The 24,026-nt window shown below is 55.9% G+C and overlaps 1 protein-coding gene and 1 long non-coding RNA gene across 5 annotated transcripts, besides 10 other annotated features; one reads left to right on the top strand and one right to left on the bottom strand.

Moving 5' to 3' along the window:
* Positions 161–5,196: an enhancer, noted in NCBI's record as "VISTA enhancer hs1891". NCBI's record gives its function as "enhancer in: somite[7/7] | midbrain (mesencephalon)[6/7] | limb[7/7] | branchial arch[7/7] | eye[7/7] | heart[7/7] | ear[7/7] | blood vessels[6/7]" and the evidence as "EXISTENCE:transgenic organism evidence [ECO:0001131][PMID:17130149]".
* Positions 2,451–3,266: an enhancer, noted in NCBI's record as "H3K27ac-H3K4me1 hESC enhancer chr1:156632179-156632994 (GRCh37/hg19 assembly coordinates)". NCBI's record gives its function as "activates a minimal SCP1, AML or CMV promoter by ChIP-STARR-seq in naive H9 embryonic stem cells {active_cell/tissue: H9 hESC(naive)}" and the evidence as "EXISTENCE:reporter gene assay evidence [ECO:0000049][PMID:30033119]".
* Positions 4,213–19,917, top strand: BCAN-AS2 (BCAN antisense RNA 2). Its single transcript, NR_182279.1, has 2 exons — positions 4,213–4,338; positions 18,499–19,917. It is a non-coding gene; the product is annotated as a BCAN antisense RNA 2 (long non-coding RNA).
* Positions 5,330–5,499: a silencer, noted in NCBI's record as "silent region_1433". NCBI's record gives its function as "represses an Ori minimal core promoter by ATAC-STARR-seq in GM12878 lymphoblastoid cells {active_cell/tissue: GM12878}" and the evidence as "EXISTENCE:reporter gene assay evidence [ECO:0000049][PMID:35858748]".
* Positions 5,966–6,466: an enhancer, noted in NCBI's record as "H3K4me1 hESC enhancer chr1:156628979-156629479 (GRCh37/hg19 assembly coordinates)". NCBI's record gives its function as "activates a minimal SCP1, AML or CMV promoter by ChIP-STARR-seq in naive H9 embryonic stem cells {active_cell/tissue: H9 hESC(naive)}" and the evidence as "EXISTENCE:reporter gene assay evidence [ECO:0000049][PMID:30033119]".
* Positions 6,125–23,536, bottom strand: BCAN (brevican). 4 transcript variants are annotated; one of them, NM_021948.5, is made up of 14 exons: positions 23,378–23,536; positions 19,508–19,606; positions 18,478–18,852; positions 17,971–18,145; positions 17,543–17,670; positions 16,792–17,085; positions 13,964–14,197; positions 12,761–13,405; positions 9,264–9,371; positions 8,557–8,715; positions 7,896–7,978; positions 7,382–7,526; positions 6,920–7,110; positions 6,125–6,626 (listed from the first exon to the last, which is right to left on the bottom strand). In NM_021948.5, exons 2-14 carry the CDS (start codon positions 19,596–19,598, stop codon positions 6,519–6,521), a joined length of 2,736 nt encoding a protein of 911 aa, NP_068767.3. In that variant the 5' UTR covers positions 19,599–19,606; positions 23,378–23,536; the 3' UTR covers positions 6,125–6,518. The 4 variants fall into 4 exon arrangements, with proteins under 4 accessions (NP_068767.3, XP_011508168.1, XP_016857536.1 ...); XM_011509866.1 differs by having other exon boundaries at positions 23,382–23,536; XM_017002047.2 differs by lacking the exon at positions 23,378–23,536 and adding an exon at positions 20,144–23,270.
* Positions 6,505–6,554: a silencer, noted in NCBI's record as "silent region_1432". NCBI's record gives its function as "represses an Ori minimal core promoter by ATAC-STARR-seq in GM12878 lymphoblastoid cells {active_cell/tissue: GM12878}" and the evidence as "EXISTENCE:reporter gene assay evidence [ECO:0000049][PMID:35858748]".
* Positions 7,846–8,346: an enhancer, noted in NCBI's record as "H3K4me1 hESC enhancer chr1:156627099-156627599 (GRCh37/hg19 assembly coordinates)". NCBI's record gives its function as "activates a minimal SCP1, AML or CMV promoter by ChIP-STARR-seq in primed H9 embryonic stem cells {active_cell/tissue: H9 hESC(primed)}" and the evidence as "EXISTENCE:reporter gene assay evidence [ECO:0000049][PMID:30033119]".
* Positions 7,853–7,962: an enhancer, noted in NCBI's record as "active region_1875". NCBI's record gives its function as "activates an Ori minimal core promoter by ATAC-STARR-seq in GM12878 lymphoblastoid cells {active_cell/tissue: GM12878}" and the evidence as "EXISTENCE:reporter gene assay evidence [ECO:0000049][PMID:35858748]".
* Positions 8,347–8,848: an enhancer, noted in NCBI's record as "H3K4me1 hESC enhancer chr1:156626597-156627098 (GRCh37/hg19 assembly coordinates)". NCBI's record gives its function as "activates a minimal SCP1, AML or CMV promoter by ChIP-STARR-seq in primed H9 embryonic stem cells {active_cell/tissue: H9 hESC(primed)}" and the evidence as "EXISTENCE:reporter gene assay evidence [ECO:0000049][PMID:30033119]".
* Positions 10,044–10,544: an enhancer, noted in NCBI's record as "H3K4me1 hESC enhancer chr1:156624901-156625401 (GRCh37/hg19 assembly coordinates)". NCBI's record gives its function as "activates a minimal SCP1, AML or CMV promoter by ChIP-STARR-seq in naive H9 embryonic stem cells {active_cell/tissue: H9 hESC(naive)}" and the evidence as "EXISTENCE:reporter gene assay evidence [ECO:0000049][PMID:30033119]".
* Positions 18,780–19,303: an enhancer, noted in NCBI's record as "H3K4me1 hESC enhancer chr1:156616142-156616665 (GRCh37/hg19 assembly coordinates)". NCBI's record gives its function as "activates a minimal SCP1, AML or CMV promoter by ChIP-STARR-seq in primed H9 embryonic stem cells {active_cell/tissue: H9 hESC(primed)}" and the evidence as "EXISTENCE:reporter gene assay evidence [ECO:0000049][PMID:30033119]".

The raw sequence follows: 24,026 nt of genomic DNA, 5'->3' as shown, positions 1-24,026 counted from the left end.
GGAGAGAGGGCCAGGTTGGAGACAAGAATTAGGGGGTCACTGGCCTAGAGATTCCCCAGAGAGAGCATACAGGATGAAGAGAGCCCTGGACAGAGCTCCAGAGGAGCTCCTGACAGACAGGAGATGACCGGGAAGGAGCTGGAAAAGGAGGCCAGAGTAGGAGCAAAACCAGGAGACTGCGGGGTCTCAGACATGTTGTCATCATGGGAATTTCTGGGATAGCAAGACCTTTGTCCTGGTCATCGCCCAGAGCCTAGCTCAGTGCCTGGGAGCCCAGGGGGTGCTGAATAAACGCGTATTAAATAAATGAATGACCATGACAGACAACGGGACAAACTTCTGAGGGTGGAGTCCCAGGGGAGGGAGCACAGAGGGACAGTATCCCCCCCTCCCCCACCCCTCCAATCAGTGCAAGGACAAGTGGGAGGTTATTCTGGGGCCTCCTCTGGGTAAATATAGCTTCTGGACGGGGTGGGGCCGGGTGGGGGGCCGGAGGTTGCTTCCTCGGTTTGTTTGGGGCACTTCCTTATAAGGCTGTGCAGGCTGAGGCGCCTCAGAGGGTGAGGTCAGGGGCTGAGCTCTCCATTCAACCCAGCCTGATGCTGTCCCGTTGCTGCTGCTGCCGCTCCTGCCGCCACTGCCACCAGAGTCTCAGAGGAAATCAAAGACCTAGGCATTGGGCTCTGGCCAAGGGAGTGCAGAGCGTGGCCTCTTAAAGGGCTCCTTCAGCCTCAATGTCTGTGTGAGAGCCCAGCCCTGGAGTGGGGAGAGCGCGTTCTTCCAGTGTCCTCTCAGAAAGAGATGCTGGACACCTCCTTCCCCCACGGGGCCTTCCTGGGACTGGGTCATCCCCACACAGCTAGGACATCCTGTGGTCTAACCTTGATCCCTGCCACTGCAGGGTCTATGCCTCTTTCTCTGGTCTCTTGAGATCAAAGAATCAGAATTCATTTATTGCCTCCAAAGACAGGCCCTGGTCCTCCACTTCCCTCCCTGCCCCCTTCTCAGCCCCTCCCTGGGGAACCAGCTGCTGCCACTTGACCCTGTGGTGTCACAGCTGCTGTCAGCAATGCCATCCTCATGAAGCAGGGAGAGAGGAATGTGATTTAATTTCAGCTGGAATGTGCTCTCTAAGGCTGCCCATGGAAGGGAGAGGGGATGGAAAAAAAGCCCACCTAAGCCCAGGAAACCTGAGACGACTCTGGGCTTGGGCACAGGCTCCTGGGTCCCAACTGGACCCCCAGCCCCACCCACAGGGGAGAGCTAAGTTCCAGGATGGGTCCTGCAGCAGGACAGATGGAAGTTAGACTTGAGGGTCTTCCTGGGAGGTGGGAAAACAGGATGTCTCTTGAATGCAGCTCGAGTGCCTGAAGAAAGGACCCAAGTACTCTGTTCCTGAATCTACAGGCCGACCTTAGAAAGACTAGGATGAGAATCTCAAGTGGCTGAACGAGGGGAGGGGCGGCTTGGCTCAGAAGCAGAGAGAGGGACAGAAAGAATGGCCCACAGAGGAAAACATGGCCCTCTCTCTTTCCTCTCTCATGGCACTGGGGTCTCCCATCTACCTCCCTGCTGGGAGCCCTCTTTCCCCTCTCCTTCTGCTTTCTTTCTTTTCTTCTTCTTCTTCTTTTTTTTTTTTTAAGAGATGGAGATCTCGTCTGTCACCCAGGCTGGAGTGCAGTGGCACTATCCTAGTTCACGGCAGCCTTGGCCTCCTTGGCTCACAACAGCGATTCTCCCACCTCAGCCTCTCAAGTTGCTGGGACTGCAGGTACAAGCCACCAGGCCTGGCTAATTTTTATATTTTTAGTAGAGACGGGCTCTTGCTATGTTGCCTAGGCTGGTCTTGAACTCCTGGGCTCAAGTGATCCGCCTGCTTTGGCCTCCCCAAATGCTGAGATTACAGGTATGAGCCACTGTGACTGGCCTCCCAGTCTTTCTAACACAGCATTCCCACACCCAGATCAGGCTTGTCTCTTCTCCCACATTTCAAGGGTAGAGGCCCTGCCTCCTACTCCCCAAAGCCTTCCCCAAGCCCCATTATTCCAGGGGCTCCAATGTGGATGTCCCTCCTGTTCTTGATGCTCTGGCCCCAAAGGGATGGACCCTAGGTCCCAGAGTCCCAGGCCCTAGAGCCCTCTTCCTTCTTCAACCTTCTCTTCTAGTCACAGTCTCCCCTCCCCCAGTCCCATTCACTCTCCCCACCCCCATGACTCAGCTGTGTCTCCAGAAATAAACCGAGGCAGGTGCCAGGAGGCCTCTGTCGAGGAACCCCCCCTCCCAACAGCTGCCGTCTCAGCTGCTTGCAAGCGCCAGGGCCCCAGAGCCCCAGGAAGGGTGGCTGGGAGACTTCACAGTTCGGGAATGCTCCACTGACTCTGGCCCCCTCCTGGGTCTTCAGGACTCCATCTTCTTCATAAAGGAGAGACATTTGCCACTCAGGGACCCAACTCTCCTTCCCTGTCTCCCCATTTTCACCTCTCTTCTGTCTTCTACCTACTTTCCTCCCTCCTCCCTGGCCCCTTCCCAATTTCTGAGTCTTTTGGTCTCTCCAGGATTTCTTCCTTTCACTTGCCAGGAAATTATGTCAGAGAGAACTTCAGTTCACCCTGACAGGAAAACTGAGGCACAGAGCGATGTCCCTTGCCAATGATACTAGGAATTCCTAGATGCCACTTGGGGTCTATAGAACATGGGCCAGGCCAGGCGAGGTGGCTTATGCCTGTAGTCCCAGCATTTTGGGAGGCTGAGGCAGGAGGATTGCTTGAGCCCGGTAGTTCGAGACCAGCCTGGGCAACATGGAGAAACCTCGTTCCTACAAAAACAGAAACAAAAATTTGCCTGCATGGTAGCATGCGCCTTGTAGTCCCAGCTGCTCAGGAGGCTGAGGCACGAGAATCGCTTGAGCCTGGGAGGCAGAGGTTGCAGTGAGTCAAGATCGTGCCTCTGTACTACAATCTGGGCAACAAAGTGAGACCCTGTCTCAAAAAAATGAAACAAAAACCCATGGGCCAGGGGACTGTGGCCTAGCCCCCTTAAATACTCCAGTCCTGTGGTCAACAGCCTCCCCATTAGCAAGCTCTCTAAATACTAAGGAAGAAGCATCCGGGAATAAACACAGAAGCCACAAGATCCACCCACTCAGACAATTAACTAGTCTAGAGTCTCTCAGTGGGGGGAATTTCCTCGCATTCTTCCTTTTCTCCTGCTTTCTTTTCTTTTTCCTTCCTTTTTTCCTTCCTTTCCTTTCCTTTCGTTCCTCATGCTCTGTCCCTGCCTTTTTCAGTTCTCCCTTCTCGGGAGGAAGTAGGCTGCTTTGCAGCATGCAGAGCGGAAGTCAGATCTCAGGAAGGACCTCCAGTCTGCAGATTGAAAGAACTCTTGCACAGCTGGGAGAGACAGCACCTGGGCCCTCATTCCAGGCAGAGATCTGCCTGCAGCCCCCAGGGAAAGTCCACTCACCCACGGGAGCCTGACGGGCTGAGCATTTTTGGAAGTCTTTGGGAGCTGCTGTGTCACAGCAGGCAGCCAGAACAATGGGGCTCTTTCTTTCCCTGTGCAGGAGACAGGCCCACAGACAGGGCCTCACGGCTGGGACAAAGGCCCCAGTGAGGTCAGGACAGTGCTGTGGGAGTTGGGGGTGTGGGGGAGGAATGGGGAGGTAGGTGTGTGGTAGAGCAGCCTGGAAGGAAGGAAGCTGGAGACCCTGGCAGATAAGTTGGGGCTCTCTGGAAGGCCATCTCATCAGGCTGCCAAGCCCCTCGGCAATGTTCAAGCCCCTAAATCTCACCCAGGCTGCGTCTCTTCCCTCCATACACATTCTGATCTCCTTCATTCCCAGGAAACTGAAAACTCTGCGAAGGGACCCCTGTTTAGACGTGGGAAGGAGGCTGAGAGCTTAACCACACATGCAGGGGCTTGGCAGGGGCGAGCACATCGTTAGATTAGTGCTGTGCCCTGGAGGCAGAGGCAGACACAGATGTGGCCCCTACTCCACATCCCCAGAGATGGGGCTGACACTCTATGAGGGGCCAATTCCTCCTGCCCAAGGCCAGGATAGGACACACACACACACACACACACACACACACACACACGGACTGGGCCAGGGGTTGGACTCTGTGCAGGACGCTGAGTCACCCGTGGACCAGCTCCGCCTTCCCCAGGAAACCCAACAAAGCCAGGAGAGGGCTTCCGTTTCCGGGCCCCGCCAGAACACCCCAGCAGGTGTCAGGGACAGGGCAGTATTCCAGCTTCAGCCTGTCTACCTCTGGAGCTCTCCTGATCAATACATCAGAGAAGATGATGGAGCCCTCCTGCCGCTCTTGGGGAGAGTTGGTGAGAATGCCTTGATGGGAAACCAAAGCCCCTTCCAGCTCACCACCATGGGCTCTCTGGGGAATCCAATATACTATCTAAACTCCACCTCAGGGAACCTCCCGTAAGAGCCCAGGGACAGACACTGCCCCTCCCCAGCCTTCTCCTCTTCAGGCCCTACTTTCAAAGGCCCACCTTGATCTTCATCCACTCACAGTTCCACCTAAATGCCCCCGAGAGCCCTAAAAATGCATTGACTGGACAATCACAGGGTAATACAGGATACAGTGAGGATCTACTCTGGCCCCAGAATCATCCTCTTCCCTATAGCTCCTTAAGAAACAGAAGCCCCTGCTCCCTAGCCACGCAGGGCAGAGTTGTGTGGGGGGCAGAAGGTGGGGGAGGTGAGGCCTGGGGTGAGGGAGGAATGTGGTGGTAGGTGGGTGTGGGAGGTCACACTGGTATATCAGAGACCAGCTGGTTTCAAGTTTAGAAATAGGGTGGGGAAGGCCCAGGAGCTGGGCAGGGATGGCCTAGGAGAGCCCCAGCTCCCACCAACACAGAGCTGTATTGAACTTGTGTCTGCCTGTCTTGCCCACTATCTCTGGGTCTCCCCGTATTACTATCAGCCTTTGCTCCTCCGGATCTGTCTCCCTGTCTCTGGATTTTACTGGCTTCAGAGAAGGAATAAGTATTGCCCATGTGGGTGATGTGCTGTAACTAAGTGGGCACATGCAGGAGTGTGTACACACGACAGTGTGCACGTGTGTGCCTATGTGTGACCGTGTGTGCCTGAGGATCTGCAGCAATGATTCATCCTCATCATGAGGACAGACTGCATCCTGACATGCACTTCACCAACAATTCTGTGCACTGGGAGAAGGGTGCACACTCACACACACGCATGCGCGTACACACACGCACGCGTACACACACACACACACACAGGCACACGCGGGCGCTGGGTCACTCTCCAGTTCTCTGAGTGACCTCATCCTCTCAACCTCCGCTGACTCACAGCCCCCAGGGCCAGATCAGCCTGGCCGGAAGTCTAACCCCCCCACATAGCCAGCCACCCCCCTTCCCCTCCCGCCTCCTCAGGACGCAAGTCCGCGGCGCCCCCTAGCGGGATCCTGGGGCTCCTCGCACCCCTCTGCCCGTCTCCACCGGCGCACGCGTACACGGCACTCTCAGAGCACCGTGCTGGGTCCGCGGCGCCCTCTGCTGGCCGCTGCCTGTGCGGGCCCCCAGTTCGTTCCCCGAAGCCCAGTCCACCGCAGGGCTGGGAACCTCCCCTTGGCCCTTAGTTTGTTTCCCTATTTCTTGCATCTCTGCCTCCTCTGCTGGACGTAAACCTTCCTGCGGCCTAACCCCCAGACATGCTGCAGTGCCAGCGGAGCTCTCCCATCACCCTCACTCTCACACCCCCATGAGGGAAGGCCGGCCCTTCCGGAAGCTCAGAACTGGGACACCAAGGCACCAACCTCTGCCTTCCTCTCTGGGACCCCAGCCCTTCTCCCTCCCAGGACAGAACTCATTGACGTTCACTTGACTCTTAGGCACTCAGGGCACTCCATCTCTTTGCAAACATGCTGCATCACTCCAGCTGTCCCCCAACCCCTGTGCCTTCCTTCATTCCATAAGTACTTCCTGGCAGCTATTCTGGCACTGTTCTACTTGCTGACATCTTGGGGACGTCTCTGACCTTTGGAAGCGAATAAACCCCGAAGCTCTATATATCCTATGATGCCCTGCCCAACCACACCTCTCTCTGTCTGTCACGGACATACACACAGAAGCATCCAACTTGCCTGGGCTCATACACAGTTTTATTTCCTGTTGATTTTACAGACACTCCATCCTGCAAGCCCATTCCCTTGGAAAACCCAGAAAGAGTGGGCACAGTGCTCCCTAGAGGAATAGAGGGGACAAGATGGCTGCCAGGGAGAGGGCAGTTGAGGCACTTAGGGATTTACTCCGGCCCTGATGGAAGATCTGGTGCCCAGGGTAGGGGGAGAGGGCCTGGGCTGGGCTGGAGCCTCCTAGGTATTTCCCAGAAGCCCCTTCAGGAACTGTCACCTGGACTCCAGTACCACCCCTCGTCATGTTGTCACTTCCTGTGGTGGCGGGAGCGCAGGGTGTGAGGGAAAATTTGGGTGACAGGGCAGTGCTGTGGCCGGCAGTGTTCAAGGCCTTGCCCCCTAGGGACCTGGCATGGGGCTGGAAGGGGGGATCAACAGCGCCTTCCAGCGTCCCAGTAGCCTCCCCTGACGTCCTTCTGGGTCCTCCTCTGGGTGCAGAGCTCGGGCCTGGGGAAGACACACACTCACCCTCCACCCTGGCTCTTCCTTCTCCTCTCCTCAGAGCCTGCCCTCTGATGTTCTTGCTCAGCCCGTAAGAGCCCAGAATGGGGCTGCATGTTATCAGACATCAGCACTGAAGGAACCCCAGAGCCTCCAGCCCACCTCTTCCCCTTTGCCTCAGAGAGGGGCAGTGATGGCTCCAAGGTCACATGGCCAGTGACAGGCAGGACTTTAAGTGGAGTCCAAGGCTACTGTTGGCTACTGTCTCCCACTCCCACCTGCCTCTTCCTGGCACTCACAGGTCTTCTGGGCACACAGGAGATCTGGGGGGCCTCCCAACGACCGTTCTCTTGGCATCGGATCAGCGGCAGATTGCGCTGGGCCAGTCCTTCCCGGCACCGGTAGCGAAGCACAGTGTCCACCTCATAGCGCAGCCGTGGGCGGCCGAACACTTGAGCCAGGGGCAGCTCCGGTGGCGGCCCACAGGACACTGCAAAGGAAGACAGTTAGGAACTGAGCCTGGCTCTGTGGGTGACAGTTCCCAGAATCTCCATGGGGAAGAGAAAAATGGGCCACAACATGACAAAAAAAGATCAGGGATTCCGAGTGGACCCACGTAACTTGTTAGCTCTCCCATGGTCTGGAACACGTTCTGACTCCTCTATGTTGCTTTGCACTCTCTGTCTACAAACATCAGTCCCTCTGGTCCCCTAGCCCACCCCTCCACTTCCTTGCTGGGACCCTCCTTTGCCTGCCCTCACCCAGCCCCATCTTGCAGGTGTAGGACAGGTGGTAGTTGCAGGGCACGTCACTCCATTGTCCCTGATCATGCCACACCATGACCACGCAGTTCTCTCCAGACAGGAAGTAGCTGTCAGGCTGCCCAGGGTTCCAGTTCTCATAGAGCTGGGGGAACGGAGGAGGTGGTGAGGAGCTCCTACACCAGGAGCACCGGGAGAGGGCCTAGAGGATCTGGGGAGGAGGGCTGGTGAGCGGGGCCCCAGGAGAGGGAAGGTTAGGGCTAGGGGGTAGGGGATCTCCCGGGGAAGGGGAAAGGAGAGGGCAGGGACTTTAGGGGAGGGAGAATGGGAGCCAGAAGGGAAGAAAGAGGACACAACGAAGGGAGGAGAGCCCAGGGAGAAGAGGCACAGGGCACGAGAAAGGGAAGGAGGCCGGAAAAAGAAGGGGACAGGGTCGGGAGGGGTGGGGGTGGTAGGGAACAGAAGTGCTTAGAGGAAGTGAGCTAGACGGCGGGGTTCGACTGGGGCCTCTCACCAGGGGGACGCCATCCGACCACAAGAAGTCGCCTTCGATGGTCCTGTCGTTGAGTCCGATCCACTGGTACTCCCGGTACCGGTCTAGGGAGACGAAGGCGTGCAGTGAGCGCAGCCGCCAGCAGATGGCGGCCGTTCCCCGCTCCCGGGCGGTCTGCGGTGACTGCCTTGGAAACCCTTCCCCGCGATCCAGCACCCGCCCTTGTCGGGTTCTTCTACCCCAGCCTCTGCTCAAGGGCCAGATGGAAAGCAGGGGAATGGGGGTGGGAGAATAAGGAAGATATCAACCCAGGCTAGAAAAGGGGAGTTTTGGAAAAAGAGTCAAAACTTTCAACAAGATTGGAGTTGGAGTTGGAGGAGGCCGACGGAGGTCGGAGAGCAGGGAGGTTGGAGGGATTGGAGGCGGCCCCCTGCACGGCGGCCCGGCCCACACAGGCGCACTCTACTGCGCGAACCTCCACTCTCCGTTCCCGAAGGCCACTGCCTAAGCGTAGGGTGGGAAGGGAGAGAGAATGAGAAGGGGAGTGAACGAATGAGTGAGGGAATGCACGCTTGAGAAAACCAAGGAATAAGTGCATGGGTTAATGAGGAAGGCGGTTAGGCGAGTGAGAGAGAGTGAGAGCATATGGCAGGGGCCCCTCCCGCCCTGTCTCCCAGCCCACTGTTGATGAAGTCCTGTTCCTCGGGTGTGCTGATGCTGGCCAGATGCGCGCCGTACATCCGGCACTGGGTCTCTGCCTCCTCCCAGCTCCTTCGTGTGGAAAAGTGCTTGTAGCAGGCGCCCTGGAAGGCGTCCCAGCCGGGGTTGCAGAAGCGGAGGCCTGCGGCACATAAGGGCGGGCATCTTAGGGCCCCAAAACCCAGAGGGCCAGGTCCCCTGGAAGGGGCTGGTCTCCTTCCACTACCGCAGGCCGAGAGGGGCGGGACTAAGGGGGACAGGAGGGCGGTGCAAAAGAGCTAGTAGAGAATGAGGGGGTAGCAGGAGCCTGGAGGGGCTCTTGGGCAGGGGCGCTGGTGCCTTTTCTAAGAGACAGGAACCAGGGTGAGGGATGGAGTTCCGGCCTGGGTCTCCATCCTAACGAGCAGTGGCTCTCCTCTCCAGGAGAATGGAGCCTGTCATGTATTGACCACCGATTAAATGCCAGGAGTATGCTTTGCACTGGTCTCAAATGGACCCCCTATGAGAGGCATTGTGGTTTCACTTAGATAAGAAAATTGAGGGTAGGACTCAAAGAAGTTATGCAACTTGCCTAAAACAGGGACTCATTAATGACAAGGCCAAAACCAATGTTCTCCCTCCCCCCTCCAGAAGTAGCACGTTGTGGCAGGGTCCAGGCTTCAAACCTGCCCCCCGTCCCTCAACACTCACCAACATCGCACAGGTCCCCCCCATAGCCAGGCAGACATAGGCAGCGGACCCCTTCCTCCTCCTCCAAGCATGTCCCACCATTGTGGCAGGGGCTGGGGACACAGTCACCTGAGAGGGGGAAAGAAGTGAGGCGGGGGGAGCGAGGCAGCCGCACTCTGCAGCCTGAGCCCTCCAGGAGAGGGTGCAGAGGGTCCCCCAGCCCTGGTCTCTCTGTCCTGGAAGCTATAACAGCACCCTAAAAGTTCTCCCTAGAGCCTGTCTCTGGTCACAACCCAGCCCTGAGTTCTGGGTTTCTTTCCTCTTCCCGCTCCCGACTTCAGCATTGGCTCAGCCTTCCATTGTTATGGCCACCAGTGTGAGCCCAGCCCAAAAGGGGCTGGGGAGAAGAGGCTAGGAGAGCCCTGAGAACCCAGCCCCACAATGGAGAAAGATACTGGGCACAGAAAGTTATAGCTCTAAACTCTTATCTGGCTTCTGTGTGATATTGGGCAGGTCATTTTCCTTCTCTAGGCTTGGAGTTTAGTGCCACACCCCCTTGTCTTTGTGCCAGGTCCCAGCACAGTTCTGTATAGTCCAGGTGGAATGAATGGAAGTGAAGGAGGGGACAGAAGGATTACCGCAGCAACAGTGGAGGGTGGTATCCCTTGACTGCTCCTGAGACCTGATATTGGTGTGGTCCAGGTGAATACTAACCATTCCTCCTGCTGTCCACTGGGCAGTCAGCCAGTCCCAGAAGTGGTTAGTGGAGATCCAGCCCACTTTCCTCACTCTAGGCCCTGCCCCTTCTCCCCCAGCTTAGGAACTAAGTCGCAGCAGCTCCCATTGTCCTGCAGTGCTGACTGGCCTCACACATGCAGCTTTCTCTCAATATCACCCAACCTCTCACTTCCCCTTCTTATATCCACAGACTCTTCCACTTACCAGGCTCCCTCTCCCAACTCCACTTTGGGCCTTCTGCAGGTTCTCCAACCTAGAATCCATCTCAATCCCTCCTTCTGGCTCCCTCTCCTCCAGGCAGTCCTCTTAGACTAACACACTGCCCTGAAGGTCTGCAATCTGTTGCCTGGATCTAGCTCCATCTGGCTAGGCCATCTGCTTTACTGGACTTTTTCTCTCTGTATCCTGGGGTAGGAGGTGGCTGTCCTTAGGATGTGCTTGGGTGCTACAGGAGCTGTCAGTTTCCAATCCTTTCTGGTTCAGATGACCCAAAGGAAGATGGCTCCACAGACCAACTGTGTAGGTCATGGCCCTCAGCCATGGTAAGGTCAAGGCCCTCAGCCATGAGAGGCAAAACCACTCCAGGGCAGAACCCTTCAGACTTTACCATCCACCTCTAGAAGCCATGGCCAAGGTCCACAGTGCTTCCCGCTGGCCTGGCCACAGGTCCCACTGCCTGGTGGGAATCAGTAGGGGTGGAGAGAGGAGAAGCTGGAGTGGATTCAAAGAATTTTGCTGGGATGACCTAGCTGTTTTGGGTGAAATGAATCAGCTTTTCCAGCAGCACTCCTTCTGTCATCTTCCCTCCTGCCAATAGTTTCTTCCCAGCTTGTGGTGCTGCCCACCTCCCAACCCCAGAGGAAGAGGTATTTCATTTAACCCATTAAGCACCAGGCCCCACAGAGGGTAGAATTCTGAACTCCCCTCCCACTCCTCACACTTTCCTGTCCCTCCTGTTGTCCTTTCTGCTCCTTCCCATTCAACCCTCCAACCCTGGGGGACAGAGGCTCTCAAACTTGGTCTTTGGTCCCCTACCCAAGCCATAGGCCCCTCCCCCTGGCTGTGGGCTACAGAACCTGAACCCAGCGCAGGCAGAGTCGGGTGAAGAACTCTTCTTCTTGTCATTTTCCCTCTCCCTTTTTGGGGACAACTATTCTACACAACCAGAAAGTTTTCCCTTTCTTTCCATTGAAACAGCAGCCAAGGAGACCTCTCACTTACCCTCCCGGTGGGGAAACTAAGACACTGTAGATACCTCCAATTGTGCTCCTCTTCCCACCAAACCCCCTCCCTATCCCCCACAGGGCTGAACTCCAAGGCCAGTTGTGCAGGGACCTAACAGTTGACATGGGTAAGCCTGGGTGGGACTCAGGATGTGATCCATCTAACATGGGGGTCCTAGGGCTAAGGGAATCCCAGCCTTCTCCAGGAACCTCCACTGGGAATCTTAGCCTTCCTGAGTAGAGAGGGCTTCTCTCAGACCCCAGAACCTGATTCCTTCCTTCACACTCTCCATCACTTGCTTTTGATCAGTGTCTTCTCCAGCATTAGGTACTTTGAGACCCTTTGGGTCTGGGGAGGGTGAAGCCATTCCTTCTGGAGAGTAGGGAATGATCATTAGTGCAGGAGTTAGTGGAGAAGACGGAAGTTGTAGGTAGTGGGATGAGAGTTAGATACCACCCCCTGCTGAGATGCAGGGCTAGGGGATGGGGGTGAGGGCAACTGAATGCCAGGGAACTGCCTCTATGCTGAGAGACCCTCAGTTCCCTCAGTTACTATGACCCTTGGCACCACCAAGATGGATTGGAAGTGAATATAAATGCACAACACATGCACTCCGGGCTGCAGGGGTTTCTCCTCATCAGGAGTGAGGGACTACAACTCCCAGCACTGCCTCAGACTATGGATGATGACTTCTCCAGGGGTAATGTGTACAGTCAAATTTTGGGATCTTAGCAGCCAGGAAGGAAAGTGTAGACAGGCCTGAGAAGGAGAGGCTGGGGGAACAATGAGGGGCTGTTAGACTGCCAGGACAGACAAGGGGAGAAGCCGAAAATGAAAAAGGAAGAGAGGCCAAGACACACACAGAGACAGGGAGAGACATGGAGCCAGAGAAGAAGCATCCAAGTGCTCCCCATGACACAGACCCATGGAATGAGAGAGGTGGACAGCAGGAGATGGAGACAGAGGGTACCAGAGCTTGGTTACAAAGCGGTTTAATAGAGATTTATTTCCAAGGCTTGTTTTCCATGAAACAGTCAAAAAATACTTCACAGAAGTAGTTGCTTAAGGCTCTGTGGGGGTACGGGTTCTCCTGGACTCCGGAGGTTGAGGGGTGAGAAGGGACTCCCAGGCTTCCCTGAGATCAATAGGAGGCAGCTAAAGGGGACGGCACACAGGCGGATGAAGGGAGTAGTGGAAAATAGGCCGAGCCCTGAAGGCTGCAATAGGTGATGAGGACCCTTGGAGAGGCCTGAGGATGCTCTGTGGGGCTGGCGAGATGTGAGCCACAGGTGGAGGGCCCAATGGCAGGGAAGGGTCACAGATGGTCAGTGGCGGGGCTGGGATCACAGGGTAAAGACGCGGAGAGCTGAGATACCCACAAGGTGGATATCCGAGATTGGAGACCCATAGGTAGAGGTGGGTAAGAGAATGAAGGCAAAGGACAGGAGAGTTTGGGATGATGGTGGGTTAAAGGACTACAGGTCAGGTGACCCAGAGCTGCAGGGGGAAGAAAAGGAGTAGGATAGAGAGGGCAGTTGAGCCTTGGGCAGAATTACCTGATGCGGGGACCACGGCCACTCCACCTCGGCTGGCGCTGTCAGTGGGCAGCACTGGCTGGGCCTGCACTGAGGTCCCTGCTGGGGCAGTTCTTCCAGAATTATCTTCAGAGGGGGCCTCCAGCTCCCTGGTACCCTCAGGGGCCCGTGTGGCTGGAAGCAGGGAAGGGGCACCCTCGGAGCTTCCTGTCTCCTCGCTCTCTCCTCGAGGGACCCCAGATAGCTCAGGACCACCAGTTGCCTCCCCCACCTCTCTTGCCTCAACCAGAGTGGAAGGTGATGGGGATGCTAGGTTCCTCTCCCTGGGAGTGGGCAGAGTCTCAGTAGGTGGTCCATGGACCCTTGGAGGCCTGGAAGCTTCTGACTCTCCATCAGGAAGTGGTGATGCACCAGGCTGCAGGACTGCCCTTGCTGGCGCCTGGGAGAGTGACTCCTCCTGGGCTGCTGGCTCAGTGGGGAGAGAGGCCTCAGGGCCCGGGCTGCTGAGCTCGCTGGGCCATGCCCACAGAGCCTCATCCTCCACCTCCTCCTCTTCTTCTTCCTCCTCTTTCTCTTCTTCATCTTCATATTTCTCTTCTTCCTCCAATGCCTTACCTTCCTCTTCTGAGAACCCCGTGGGCGGTACCATGGATTGTGTTTCAAATTCTAGGCAAAGCACAAACGGTTCAGCACCAGGGACAGCGTCTGTCCAAGGACCGAAAGGAAAAAGGGAAGGGGAGAAAAGTAGGGCTCAGGAGGGTGAGCCCTGGGGAATAGGGAAGAGACCGCCCTGAGGACAGGTGGTCCTTGCGCCACACTGGAAGAACTTGACCCCAGCCATATTGTTGAGGCAACACTTGAGAAGGCTCTGTGAGCCATCATTAGCCCCGGAGAACATGGTCATTTGTCTCCCTCCTACTCTGTCAAAACTCTAGTCTGTTTTGGGTGTGTGAGGCGGAAGAGGGACCAAAGAAGGCAGGTTCCACCTTTCCAGGGCGCAGCTCCTTAGTGCAAGCATCTCTAGCTCCATAGAGTTGGGGGTGGAATTTACTGGAAAAGCAAAGGTTGGGAGAGGGACAGGAAAGGTGCCCTGCACCCCTGAGCTACTGAGAAAGGACAGGGCAGAGTCATGTCATCCATCACCCTAGCATCAACCTGGGCTTGCCTCTTCTGCCCCCAACTTCTTTCAATCAAGACATCCTTAGGATAAGGGATCCGACTTACCTAGGAGCGTCCTAGGGGCCTCTGCTGGGTCTTCTGGAGTGGAGCTTCCACCTCCTCCGTCCTCCATGATGGGGATGGAGTAGATGGCCCCACGGGATTCACTCTCTGTGGCTTCCTGAGGCAGCTGCAGTTCCTCCAGGGTCTCTGTCACTGTGACGATAGCCTCTAGTCCATCAGAGGCTGGGTTGGAGGCTGGGTTGGAGGCCTCAGGGATGGCAGAAGGCTGGGCCGAGTCTGTGGCAGGAGGAAAGTATTGATGCGAGCCTGAATAGGTAGCTCTGCCCTCCCAGGTCACAGCTTGCACCATGGAATTCTCTCAATTCTCTCACATCTTCCCTGTGGAGCACCTACTGGGGCCCAGGGAGCATCCCAGAACTTCGTCACTCATTTCTCAAGCATTCATCAAGTGCCTACAGTGTGTCATGCCAAGCATTCCCCTGGGCACTGAGGATACAGTGCAGAACAAAATAGCAAACCTCCTACCCTCAAGGGAAATTATATTCTAGAACAGATGACAAACAAACATATATTATAATCTTACAAGATAAAGAACACTTGAGCAGAGTTAGAAGATGGAGTGATGGAAAATACTACTTTGGAGTGGTCAGGAAAGGCTCAGGTGAGAGATATTCCCTAGGGGGAGGGGCTGGAGCCAGCAGGATGGATGAAATAGCTTTACCACCTTGTGATCTTGGGCTTGGGGCAAGGTGTGAGGTGTCCCAGGTATCCCCAAATTCTTTTATTTTTTAGACAGAGTCTCCTTCTGTCACCCAGGCTGGAGTGCAGTGGCACGATCCCAGCTCATTGCAACCTTCGCCTCCTGGATTCAAGCGGTTCTCCCGTCTCAGCCTCCCAAGTAGCTGGGACTACAGGCATGTGCCACCGTAACTGGCTAATTTTTGTATTTTTAGTAGAGACAGGGTTTCCCCGTGTTTGCCAGGCTGATCTCGAACTCCTGGCCTCAAGTGGTCTTGGCCTCCCAAAGTGCTGGGATTACAGGCATGAGCCACTGCACCGAGCCTCCAAAATTCTTGAAATAGAAGGGGAGAGGCTGTCATCCCCTCAGGATAGCTGGAGGGCAGAGTGCAGGAATAACTTCAGGCATCACCTGAGGATCTCAGTGGTGGGGCAAGTAGGCAAGGGAAAAGGCCACCTCCTTCTGGGACCTACTCCTTTCAAATAACCAGAAGTTTAGAATGGTTTACTTGTCCTCTGGGGAAGGGAGCCAAGAGCAGAAAACCAATGAAGTGAAGGTGGAATTGGGCTAAGAAAAGTCCTGAGGGCTGTCTGTGCTCAGCCAGGCAAGACAGGACAGTGAGTCCCTGCCCTCATCACCTGCTCCAGTGAGCCTTACTCCTCACCAGACCTTGTGTCCTTGCTGCCTGTGTCCTCCACCAATCGTAGTCCCAACTGTAGTCATATTCCCCCTCCCCTGCCCCTCCTCATGATCCAGGCCATTTCTTTCCAAAACAGTGCTTGGCTTGGCACACAATCATAGCCAGCACACAGAAGTTTTAGCTATTACTATTATTATTATTACTACTACTACTACTACTACTACTACCCCTGTTCCAGGAGGTCTTTTCAGATGGACCTGTCTTCCTATGGACTTTTACTTCCCCACCCCTCCCCAACCCCAGCCAAATATGTCCACAGATCTGTCCAAATGGAAGTAATGCTTTTCTCTCAGTCTCTCCTCATCCTGGGAGTGAGGCATCTTGTCTTCCCTTTGCTGGGGGTTCCCATGGCAAAAGCTGTGTCTTCATCCTTCAGACCAAGTGCTCCCTGAGGTTCAAGGCTGTGTCTGCTCCTTCCATTTCTGCTTCCAGCTCTTGTAACAGTATTTCAGGCTTAAAACTGGGGAAGGACCGAGACACCGCATGGCAATGCCTCTCTTATTGTCGGTCACCCTTGGCCTGGGCCTTTTGCATCTGAGAGTCCCAGAAACTGCCTCCCGCTCCAGCTCCCAACATAAGATATGGGCAGGTTTGGGTGCAGTGGCTCACACCTATAAATCCCAGCACTTCGGGAGTCCAAGATAGGTAGATTGCTTGAGCTCAGGAGTTCAAGACCAGCCTGGGCATGTGGTGAAACCCCATCTCTACAAAAATTACAAAAATTTGCTAGACATGGTGGCATAAGCCTGTGGTCCCACCTACTCCGGAGGTTGAAGTGGAAGGATCCCCTGAGCCCAGGGAGGTTGAGGCTACAATGAACCATGATCACACCACTGCACTCCAGCCTGGGGGACGGAGTGAGACCCTGTCTCAAAAAAAGAAACAAGCCATAAGATGTGGGCAGAAAGCTATCTCTATTCCCAACTGTACTTAAGGTCTTGCTCCCTTTTGGGGGAATTGTATCCATCCACCAGTATTTGGTAGTTAAAGATCTGACACCTTCTTAAGCTGTAGTTTCTGGAAATCCTCCAGAGGGCTCCTGAGGGCATTTGGTTGTTGACTGGAAGAACTTGGGCAGATTACTCATTGAATTCACAGAATGTTGGTCGTCTTTGCTCTGCCAATAAGCTGACAGGAGATGGGAGCTTATTCAGCAGCCCAGCTGGAGCAAACAAGGCATGGACTACTGGTGGGAAGGCAGATAAGGAGAGGCCAAAAGGTGACTACTCCTTGGGCCAAACAGCTGACAGACACCACACCAGAGGGCATGCCCAGAATTAGAACCCTAGATGACAAGCTGGACTTCACCCACGACCACTTCAGGCAAATGGCAAAGCCCTGAGCTAAACTGATCAGACTGGGGTAGGACTTTTAGGACTCAACTCTGCCTTTCTGAGATTGGTCTCAGCTTCTGCAGGGAGGTGGGCTCACCTCGGAAGCAGTAGACGTTGAAGCGGCTGTGCTTATTGGGGAAGCCAGTCTGGTTGGGGAAGAGGAAGAGAGTCTTGACACCAGGCAAGCCCCCACCACAGCGCTGGCTGGGTGTGACGATGGGGTAGCGCACACTGCCATCAGCTAGCCACCCTGGGCTGCAGTGGTCCAGGCCACCATCCCAGGCTGCATACAGTTGGCCCGTGGTGGCAATCTCTGCACCCCGCTCCTGGCAGTACGCCCGTGCTTCCTCCAATGTCAGCTTCTCTGGAGGGTCACCCAGGAACAGTTCTCCTGGGTGGAGAAGAGAAGGCTGGGTTATCAGGCAGCTGGTAGCTCCTTCCACTCTGGTCTCCCATGGGAACCCTGGGCAAGCTTCTCCAGTTCCCTCATCTGTGGCAGGGAGTCAACTACTCTACTTCATAGGATCATAGTCTGAATAGAACCTCAAGATGGATATTAGAGCTCAAAGAGATGGGGCCCAAACTTCTTGTTCTGCAGAGTCATGCACAGAGTCCACCTGGCAGGTGGTAGATGAGTTAAACTCGGTATCCTGCTGCCTGGCTGAGACTTTGGTCATGAGCTTGCCTCTGTGACAGTGTTTGGAGAGAGGGACACCAATTGTCTCCTTACTCCTGCTTGCCCCCTTAAACTCAGGAGGGATAGTAAGGTCCTGCAGAGGCCCCGGGAGGACCTATGGGCAGCATGGGAGTAGGAAATTGTCCCCTGGGAACCTCTCACTCCTAATCACCATTTAGGTCTTCAGCATAACAGTACACATCATAGAGGTCATCCGGGTCCACCACACCATAGTTCCGGACCCCGGGGAAGCCATCCATGTCTCCGTAACAGGCCTCTCGTGGGGTCTGGATGGGATACCTAGGGAGGAAGGACAGAATCACTTAGTACAGATGCTTTCACCAGGGAGCCAGCCCATATTGATTCTATTGAACCCCACTGCCACCACAGTGCAGACACTTGCTGACAGCTGGCTGTCCTTCTAGCACTGCAGGGATGCACATGCTCAGGGTCCTCACCTCCCCTCCTCAGACCAGCCTCATCCCCCAGAGGCAAAAAGCCCTGCATGTCCAGCCTGACACAGCAGGCAGCACCCAGCAGAAGGGGGGCCATGGCCACCTCAGGGGCCAATAGAAGCCCCAATCCACAGCCCCTGCCCACCTCACGGTCTGATCCGACAGCCAGCCAGCATCACATTGCTCATAGCCCCCAAGGTAGGCGGCATAGAGCTGCTCCGGGGTGGCGATGTGGGCTCCAATGCGGGCACAGGCCTCCTGGGCCCCAGAAAAGGAGAAAGCATAGCGGGCAGAGCCCTCTCGGTAGAGAAAGACGACCCCTGTGGGGCAGAGAGGACCCCTGAGCCAGGTGAGCACCCAGCACGCTGGCCTCCCCTCACCCTCCTTGTCACTCCTCTGTACACAAGGGTAAATAAAGTTCAATTGTGCTCACTCTACAGCATGAGGGACTTAAGTTAGATTGTGGGTAGAATGTCCTCCACCTGAAGAGAGAAAGGAGACAACAAAGGCCCGTGTCTCCTCACTCTTTTTCCAACCCAGGCTGCGCCTTCCAGCTACCTTTGCTTCCCTCTCACACTGTGGGATCCCCGAAGGCAAGAGTCCTCCCTTCCCTCCCTCCCTCCCTCCCTCTGGAACCTCCCTGCCCTCTCACCTTTGACCTTGACCTCCACAGCGTCGCTGCTGTCATCGATGCCGTGCTGGACCTCACAGCGATAGATACCTGAGTCGTTGGGGCGCAGCTCGCTCAGCGCCAGGGAGACGTCGGTGAGCGACGCTGGGTACGCAGGCAGTGCCACGCGGAACCGGTAGGCCTCGTTCACCTTGACGCGCACTCCCCGCGCCACCAGCACCTCTGCCTCCCGGCCCCGGGACAGGAAAGTCCACTTGACCCGCGGAGAGCCCAGCACAGCCCGGCGGCTCGGCGGTGGCCGCAGGTAGTGGACGTGGCAAGGGATGGTGAGGGCGCCGCCGAGCACGCCCTGCAGTGGCGCGTCGCCCGCGATGCGCACGCGAAAAGCGCGGTCCTCTGTGAACGGGTGGAGCCGGCTGGAACTTAACGCTGTCGACCCTCAGAGTCCCACCCGGTGGCCTCCAAGCCCCGCTCCAGGATCCCTCCTTCCGGCCCCAGGATTCCCCGGCCCCCCTAGGACCAGGGGCCAGGGGCCAGGGGCCAGGGTCCTGCAGCCCTACCTCTAGGTCCTCCAGGACCACCCCGACGGTCTCCAGACCCATCCCCCAAAGTCTCCCAGTCAATTCAGCCCCCAGGATTCCTTGCCCTGCTCTCAGAGTCTTCCACTTCCTCTCCAAAATTCCTAGACCACACCCCAGGGTCCTCCAACCTCGCCCCCTGAGTCCTCCAGCCCAGTTTCCCAGTCTGCTCCCTTTAGGGCCTCCTTCAGGGTTTCTCCCAGTTCCACCCCTTTCCCACCTCCTAGCTTCAGGATCCCCTATCCTCCACCTTAGGGGCCCAAAGCCTTGCACCCAGTGCCCTTCCCTAGTCCTGCCCCATGATTTCTCCAACCCACCAGATGCTCACAGCTCAGCCCTTATTTCCAAGTGTTCCAGCCTGGACGCTTCCCCACAGCCCTCCAATTCTCTCTCTTCCTGGGGCCCCTAAGCCTGGAAGCAGTTGGTTAGGGCTGAACAAGACAGAGACGGTGACCCCAAGTGGGGTTGCTTACCTGAGCTGTCTCCTTCCAGAACATCTGCTAAAGCTGCAGGAGCCTGGGCCAGGACCAGGGCTGCCAGCAGGGGCAGGAACAGCTGGGCCATGCTGCAGGCTGACAGAGGGACATGAGAAGGAAAGATGGGGTTAGACTTCAGGATGGACTTCCCCCCTGCTCCCTACCACACCCATGTGGGTTCACACATATCCTGGCTCCAGAAGTCCCCTACCTTCACATCACCATGGACTCTCTGTTTCTGATCCCCATCTTCCCAGCAAGTGATTTCTTCTCAGAACCAAAACCCGAGTCCTAGTCAACTCACTGTGTGACCTAAGCCAAGCTCCTTACCTTCTCTGAGCCTTTATTTTCTTACTTATAAAAAAGCATCATCATTACTATCTCATGAGTTGAGATAGGACCATGTGCTTTGAGAGTGTTTAGTATCTTAAAACTCCTGTACAAATGCATAGCACCAGGCAGACAGTAGGAGCTCAGTTTACAGCATGAATGGTGGGTGCTCTTATACTCAGAATTCCATCTGCTCCTCCCAGTGCCAGACTCCTTCCTCGAACCCAGAGCCTTCTCCCATAGTATCTCTTTAGCCTCTTCTGCCTTCTAGACTGTCCCTGCCTCCAGGGACACCATACTCACCTGGCCTTTTCCAGGAGGGCCTCCTAGACCGAACGCAAGTAAGCACAGCTTCTCCTGAGCCCACCCTCTCCTCTACTTCCTCCCCACCATTATTTGTAAGGAAACTCCTCTCTTTACTCCCCAACATTCTCCATCCCCCTTCCTTGGCTGCCTCCTCCCTTCTTCTTCCCAGCCTCTCCTTTCTGCCTGGCACGGGCTTTCCCACCGGAACTCTTGGCTCAGAAATCAGTTGGGACAAAGCCCCTGTCTCTGCCAGTCTGGCCTCTATCCAGCCCCTCCCTTCCCCCACCCTACCTTTTGTGAAAGCCTTGGGCTGGAGGGTGGACTAAGGGGGGGGAGAATAAATGGGAGGGGCTACCCCTTCCTACCCCTGGCTATCAGAAGCTCTAGAACCCAGAATATTCCTCCAAAGATCTCGAAGCACTTACACTCTCATAAAAAGGATGTGTTGTGACATTGAGAAATGGAGACTGAGGCTCAGAGAAGGATAGGGCTGACCCTGGATCCCTAGTAAAGCCAAGTCAGGCACGAGGGCAATGTGCTCCCAGGAGAGAAGACTCAGAGCTACATCATCTTTAAGGGTTGGGCTAAACTTAGAAGAGCATGGAGATCCAGGTATGCCATGGAATAGGCCAATGATGCAGCAAGAGAATTGAAGGTTAGACTACAGGCAGGACTTCCTAGAGATCAGGTTTATTCCACTGGCTGTGCACTCCCATTCCAGGCCCACTGTTTATCCCCCATCTTCCCTGCCCTCTCAGCATCTGCCTTCATACCTGTCCCTGCACTTTCCTAAGCCTGAGATGATGGGAAATTTCCTACTTTTCCCAGATCCTCCCACCTCCCTGCCATCATAACCCCCATCTCCCCCACTGTGTCTGGATATCATTCCCTAGGGTCAGAGTTGGGAGAGGAGTGGCACAACCAGATGCTTAGGGCCTCTCTCTGACCTTTCAGAGGGAGGAGGTTCTTGATGGGGCCAGATTAGAGGTGCGGAGACCAGCTCCAGGCATTGGGGTGCTTGGGAGGACTGTTCTGGGGCTGGAGTGGGGACCATTGGGCAGGAGCAGCCAGTGCCCACCGGGTGCTGGGAAGACTGTTTGCCATGCATCTGAGCTGTGCCAGGGCCTGGGCCTGGCCCCCTTCTGGTGCCCTCCCTCCCTTCTCTCTGGGCTGGAGCTGGAGCTGCTCACAGACCTGGCTCCCATCTCTCTGACGGGCAGCCCAGAGACCCATATAGTTGGAGTCATTTTGGGGCCAACACCCTGGACCACCCTTTCACCTCTGTCTGACAGTGGGAGAGTGAGGGAAGAGGGCCTAAGGCCAATGAGGACCTAACTGCTCTGGAACATGGAGGGCAACCTACCCTTGACCCCAAAAATGGGAGTCACTGACCAGTGAGGCCAAGAGGGTAGCCCCGTGCAGTTCTGAGAGAGCTCTGTCTCTCCAGTCTCGGGCCTCAGCCTCCCAATTGCAGCTAGGAGCCCTGAGGAAACTCAGACTTCCCCACATCCGGTACCAGCCTCAGAACCCAGGGGTCCAGGGTTCTGTGGCCTTCTCTATCCCACACACCACTCATCTCCACTTCCTCTTCTCTTCCTCCAGAGCAGGCCACACCTCTCCAACTCTAACCCTGAGAGCTCAGCAGTCATGCGGTCCGTTCCCTTGACGCCACAACATCCCCCTCTCTGTTTCAGCTCCAGCGTCTGTATCTCTGCCCTTGTTTTGAATTTCTTGAGCTGTTCAGGAAACTTTCCTCTTGTCACATCATTTCTGTCTGACCCGGGATGTCCATCTCCCTCACAGTCTTCATAGACCCAACCCAGAGAGTTAAGACCAGGTCTCTCTCTCTCTCTCTCTCTCTCTCTCTCTCTGTGTGTGTGTGTGTGTGTGTGTGTGTAGGCATGCACGTGTGTACACACATCTAACAACACCCACCACCTCCATGCTGAATGCCCATCAGCCGGCAGCCAAGGTCTGTCCCATAGGAACTGAGCTCCAGCACTCAGCAGGGTCAGCAGGGAGGCACAAGAAGCCAGAGCTTTGGCTATAGCAGGAGGGAAGCTCTCTGCTACCCCCTTAACGGCTTCATGAGGAGCAACATGAGCCTACACAATATAAGCAGGGCCTTAGGGCCTGTAGAAGTAATTGCAATCATCATATAAATAGTCCTTTTTATTGGAAGCAAAACTAATAATACTATTAGCAATGACACCAGCCGAGCAGTTGCAGATCCCTCTCGTATAGAATCTGAAATGTGGATGATGCTGTTATAAATAGCAAAGTTAGCCATAGCAACATAGGCACTGGTAATACTGTGGGTGGGTCTAAGGGTAACACTGTTCCCTGATCTTACTGTCATCATCTGCAATCTAAGTAATGCAGATAATAATGGTGCCCCTTGGACTTGACGCCAATCTCTTGGTCCTATTAGAACCATGTAGGCAGAGCTATTCCAATAGGTGGGGGAATACCTGACAGGATATGGAAATACCTGGGAGAGGGAATTCCCAGGCCCCTGGCAGTGCTAGGAAGGAATGCAATAGTGGTAACCGAATTCCAGCTAATAGTTACTGATGTCTACCTGAGCCAGTTCTCCTAAATGCTTCCTGTGGATAACCTCAACTGTGAGAAAAAGATTGTTTATGTTTTGCTCATTACACCGATGAGGAACCCGAGGTTCAGAGAAGTCAACTAACTACCCCAAGGTCACAGAGCAAGGAGCCGAGTTGGGATTCCAGCCGAAATGGGCACTCCGACCACCCCCTAGAGCGGCTCTGATCGGCTGTCCTGCCGGACTACAGTAAGGTGTCCCCAGAAGGGTTGCTGGCCGCTGCTCCTGGAGCTGCCTGTGCGTGGGGGCACGGAGGCAAGGACTGATCCGGAACGCTACCGCCCTGCCTGGGACAAGGTCGGAAATCTCGGCGGCCGCGCTGGGACAGGAGCGCGCAGCAGGGAAGATGCGAGGACCCGAGGGGTTGCTGATCAGACTGCGAGCAGCAGGGGGGCTGCCACTGGCAGAGCTGGAAGCATGTAGATCAGAGATGGCAGCAGCAGCTGCAGGCGCTCGGGGCTGTCCAGCAGCCTACCCCGCTGCGGTGTCAGGAGTCGACGAGTTGGGTGCCCCAGAGCCTCGAGGCAAGGGCTGACAGGCGGGGGGCGCAGACCAGGCAGGCACTCCCTTCTCCCTGTCCCCGACCCCACGGCGGGCGGCGGGGCTGCGGAGGCACTCACCTACCCAGGGCTGGGGTTGGGTCGCGGCACTGCGAAGTTTGTCGCCTCCTCCGGGGGTCTCCTCCGGGTGCACGGCTCAGTCCTGCAGCTGCAGCTGAGACTGCGGCGGAGACTGCGCGAGCGTGAGGAGAGGCTGGGGCCGCAGGACATTCGGAAGAGGGCGCCGGCCCTCCCGGCGCAGCACAAAACCCCCTTTCTTCCCCCCGCCCCTGCCCCGCCCTCCCCGGGGCCGCCCCCGCCCCCTGGTCGGGAGCGCGGGGCTCTCGGGACGGTCACGGGACCCGCTGCCTTCTCTGCTTCGGCTCCGGCAGCAGCGGCGAGAGCAAGGACGAGCGAAGTAGGACATCGTTCAGCGGATGAGAAGCCGAGGGCTTGGAGTAGGGAGGAGGGGCAGGAGGGGCGGGGAGGGAGCGTTCGCCCAGCGTTCGCTGAGCTAAAGGATGACGATGTTGCAGCTGGAGGGGTGGAAGTTGGACAACTGGAGAGTCTTCTCGTTGTTCAAAGAAGAAGGAGGAGGGAGTCAATTAGACTGTAAGAAGTGGATGAAGGGAGAATGGGGGCTTTGCTCCTGAAAAGAGACACCCTTTCTAATAAAAAAAATGGAAAACTCTTTTCTGGAGGCAGAATGGGGTGCAAAGGACCGTAGCTA

The sequence above is a fragment of the Homo sapiens genome, chromosome 1 (genome assembly GCF_000001405.40).
Source record: "Homo sapiens chromosome 1, GRCh38.p14 Primary Assembly".
In the NCBI taxonomy this organism is placed as follows: Eukaryota; Metazoa; Chordata; class Mammalia; order Primates; family Hominidae; genus Homo; species Homo sapiens.
This window is presented reverse-complemented; position numbering and strand designations above follow the sequence as displayed.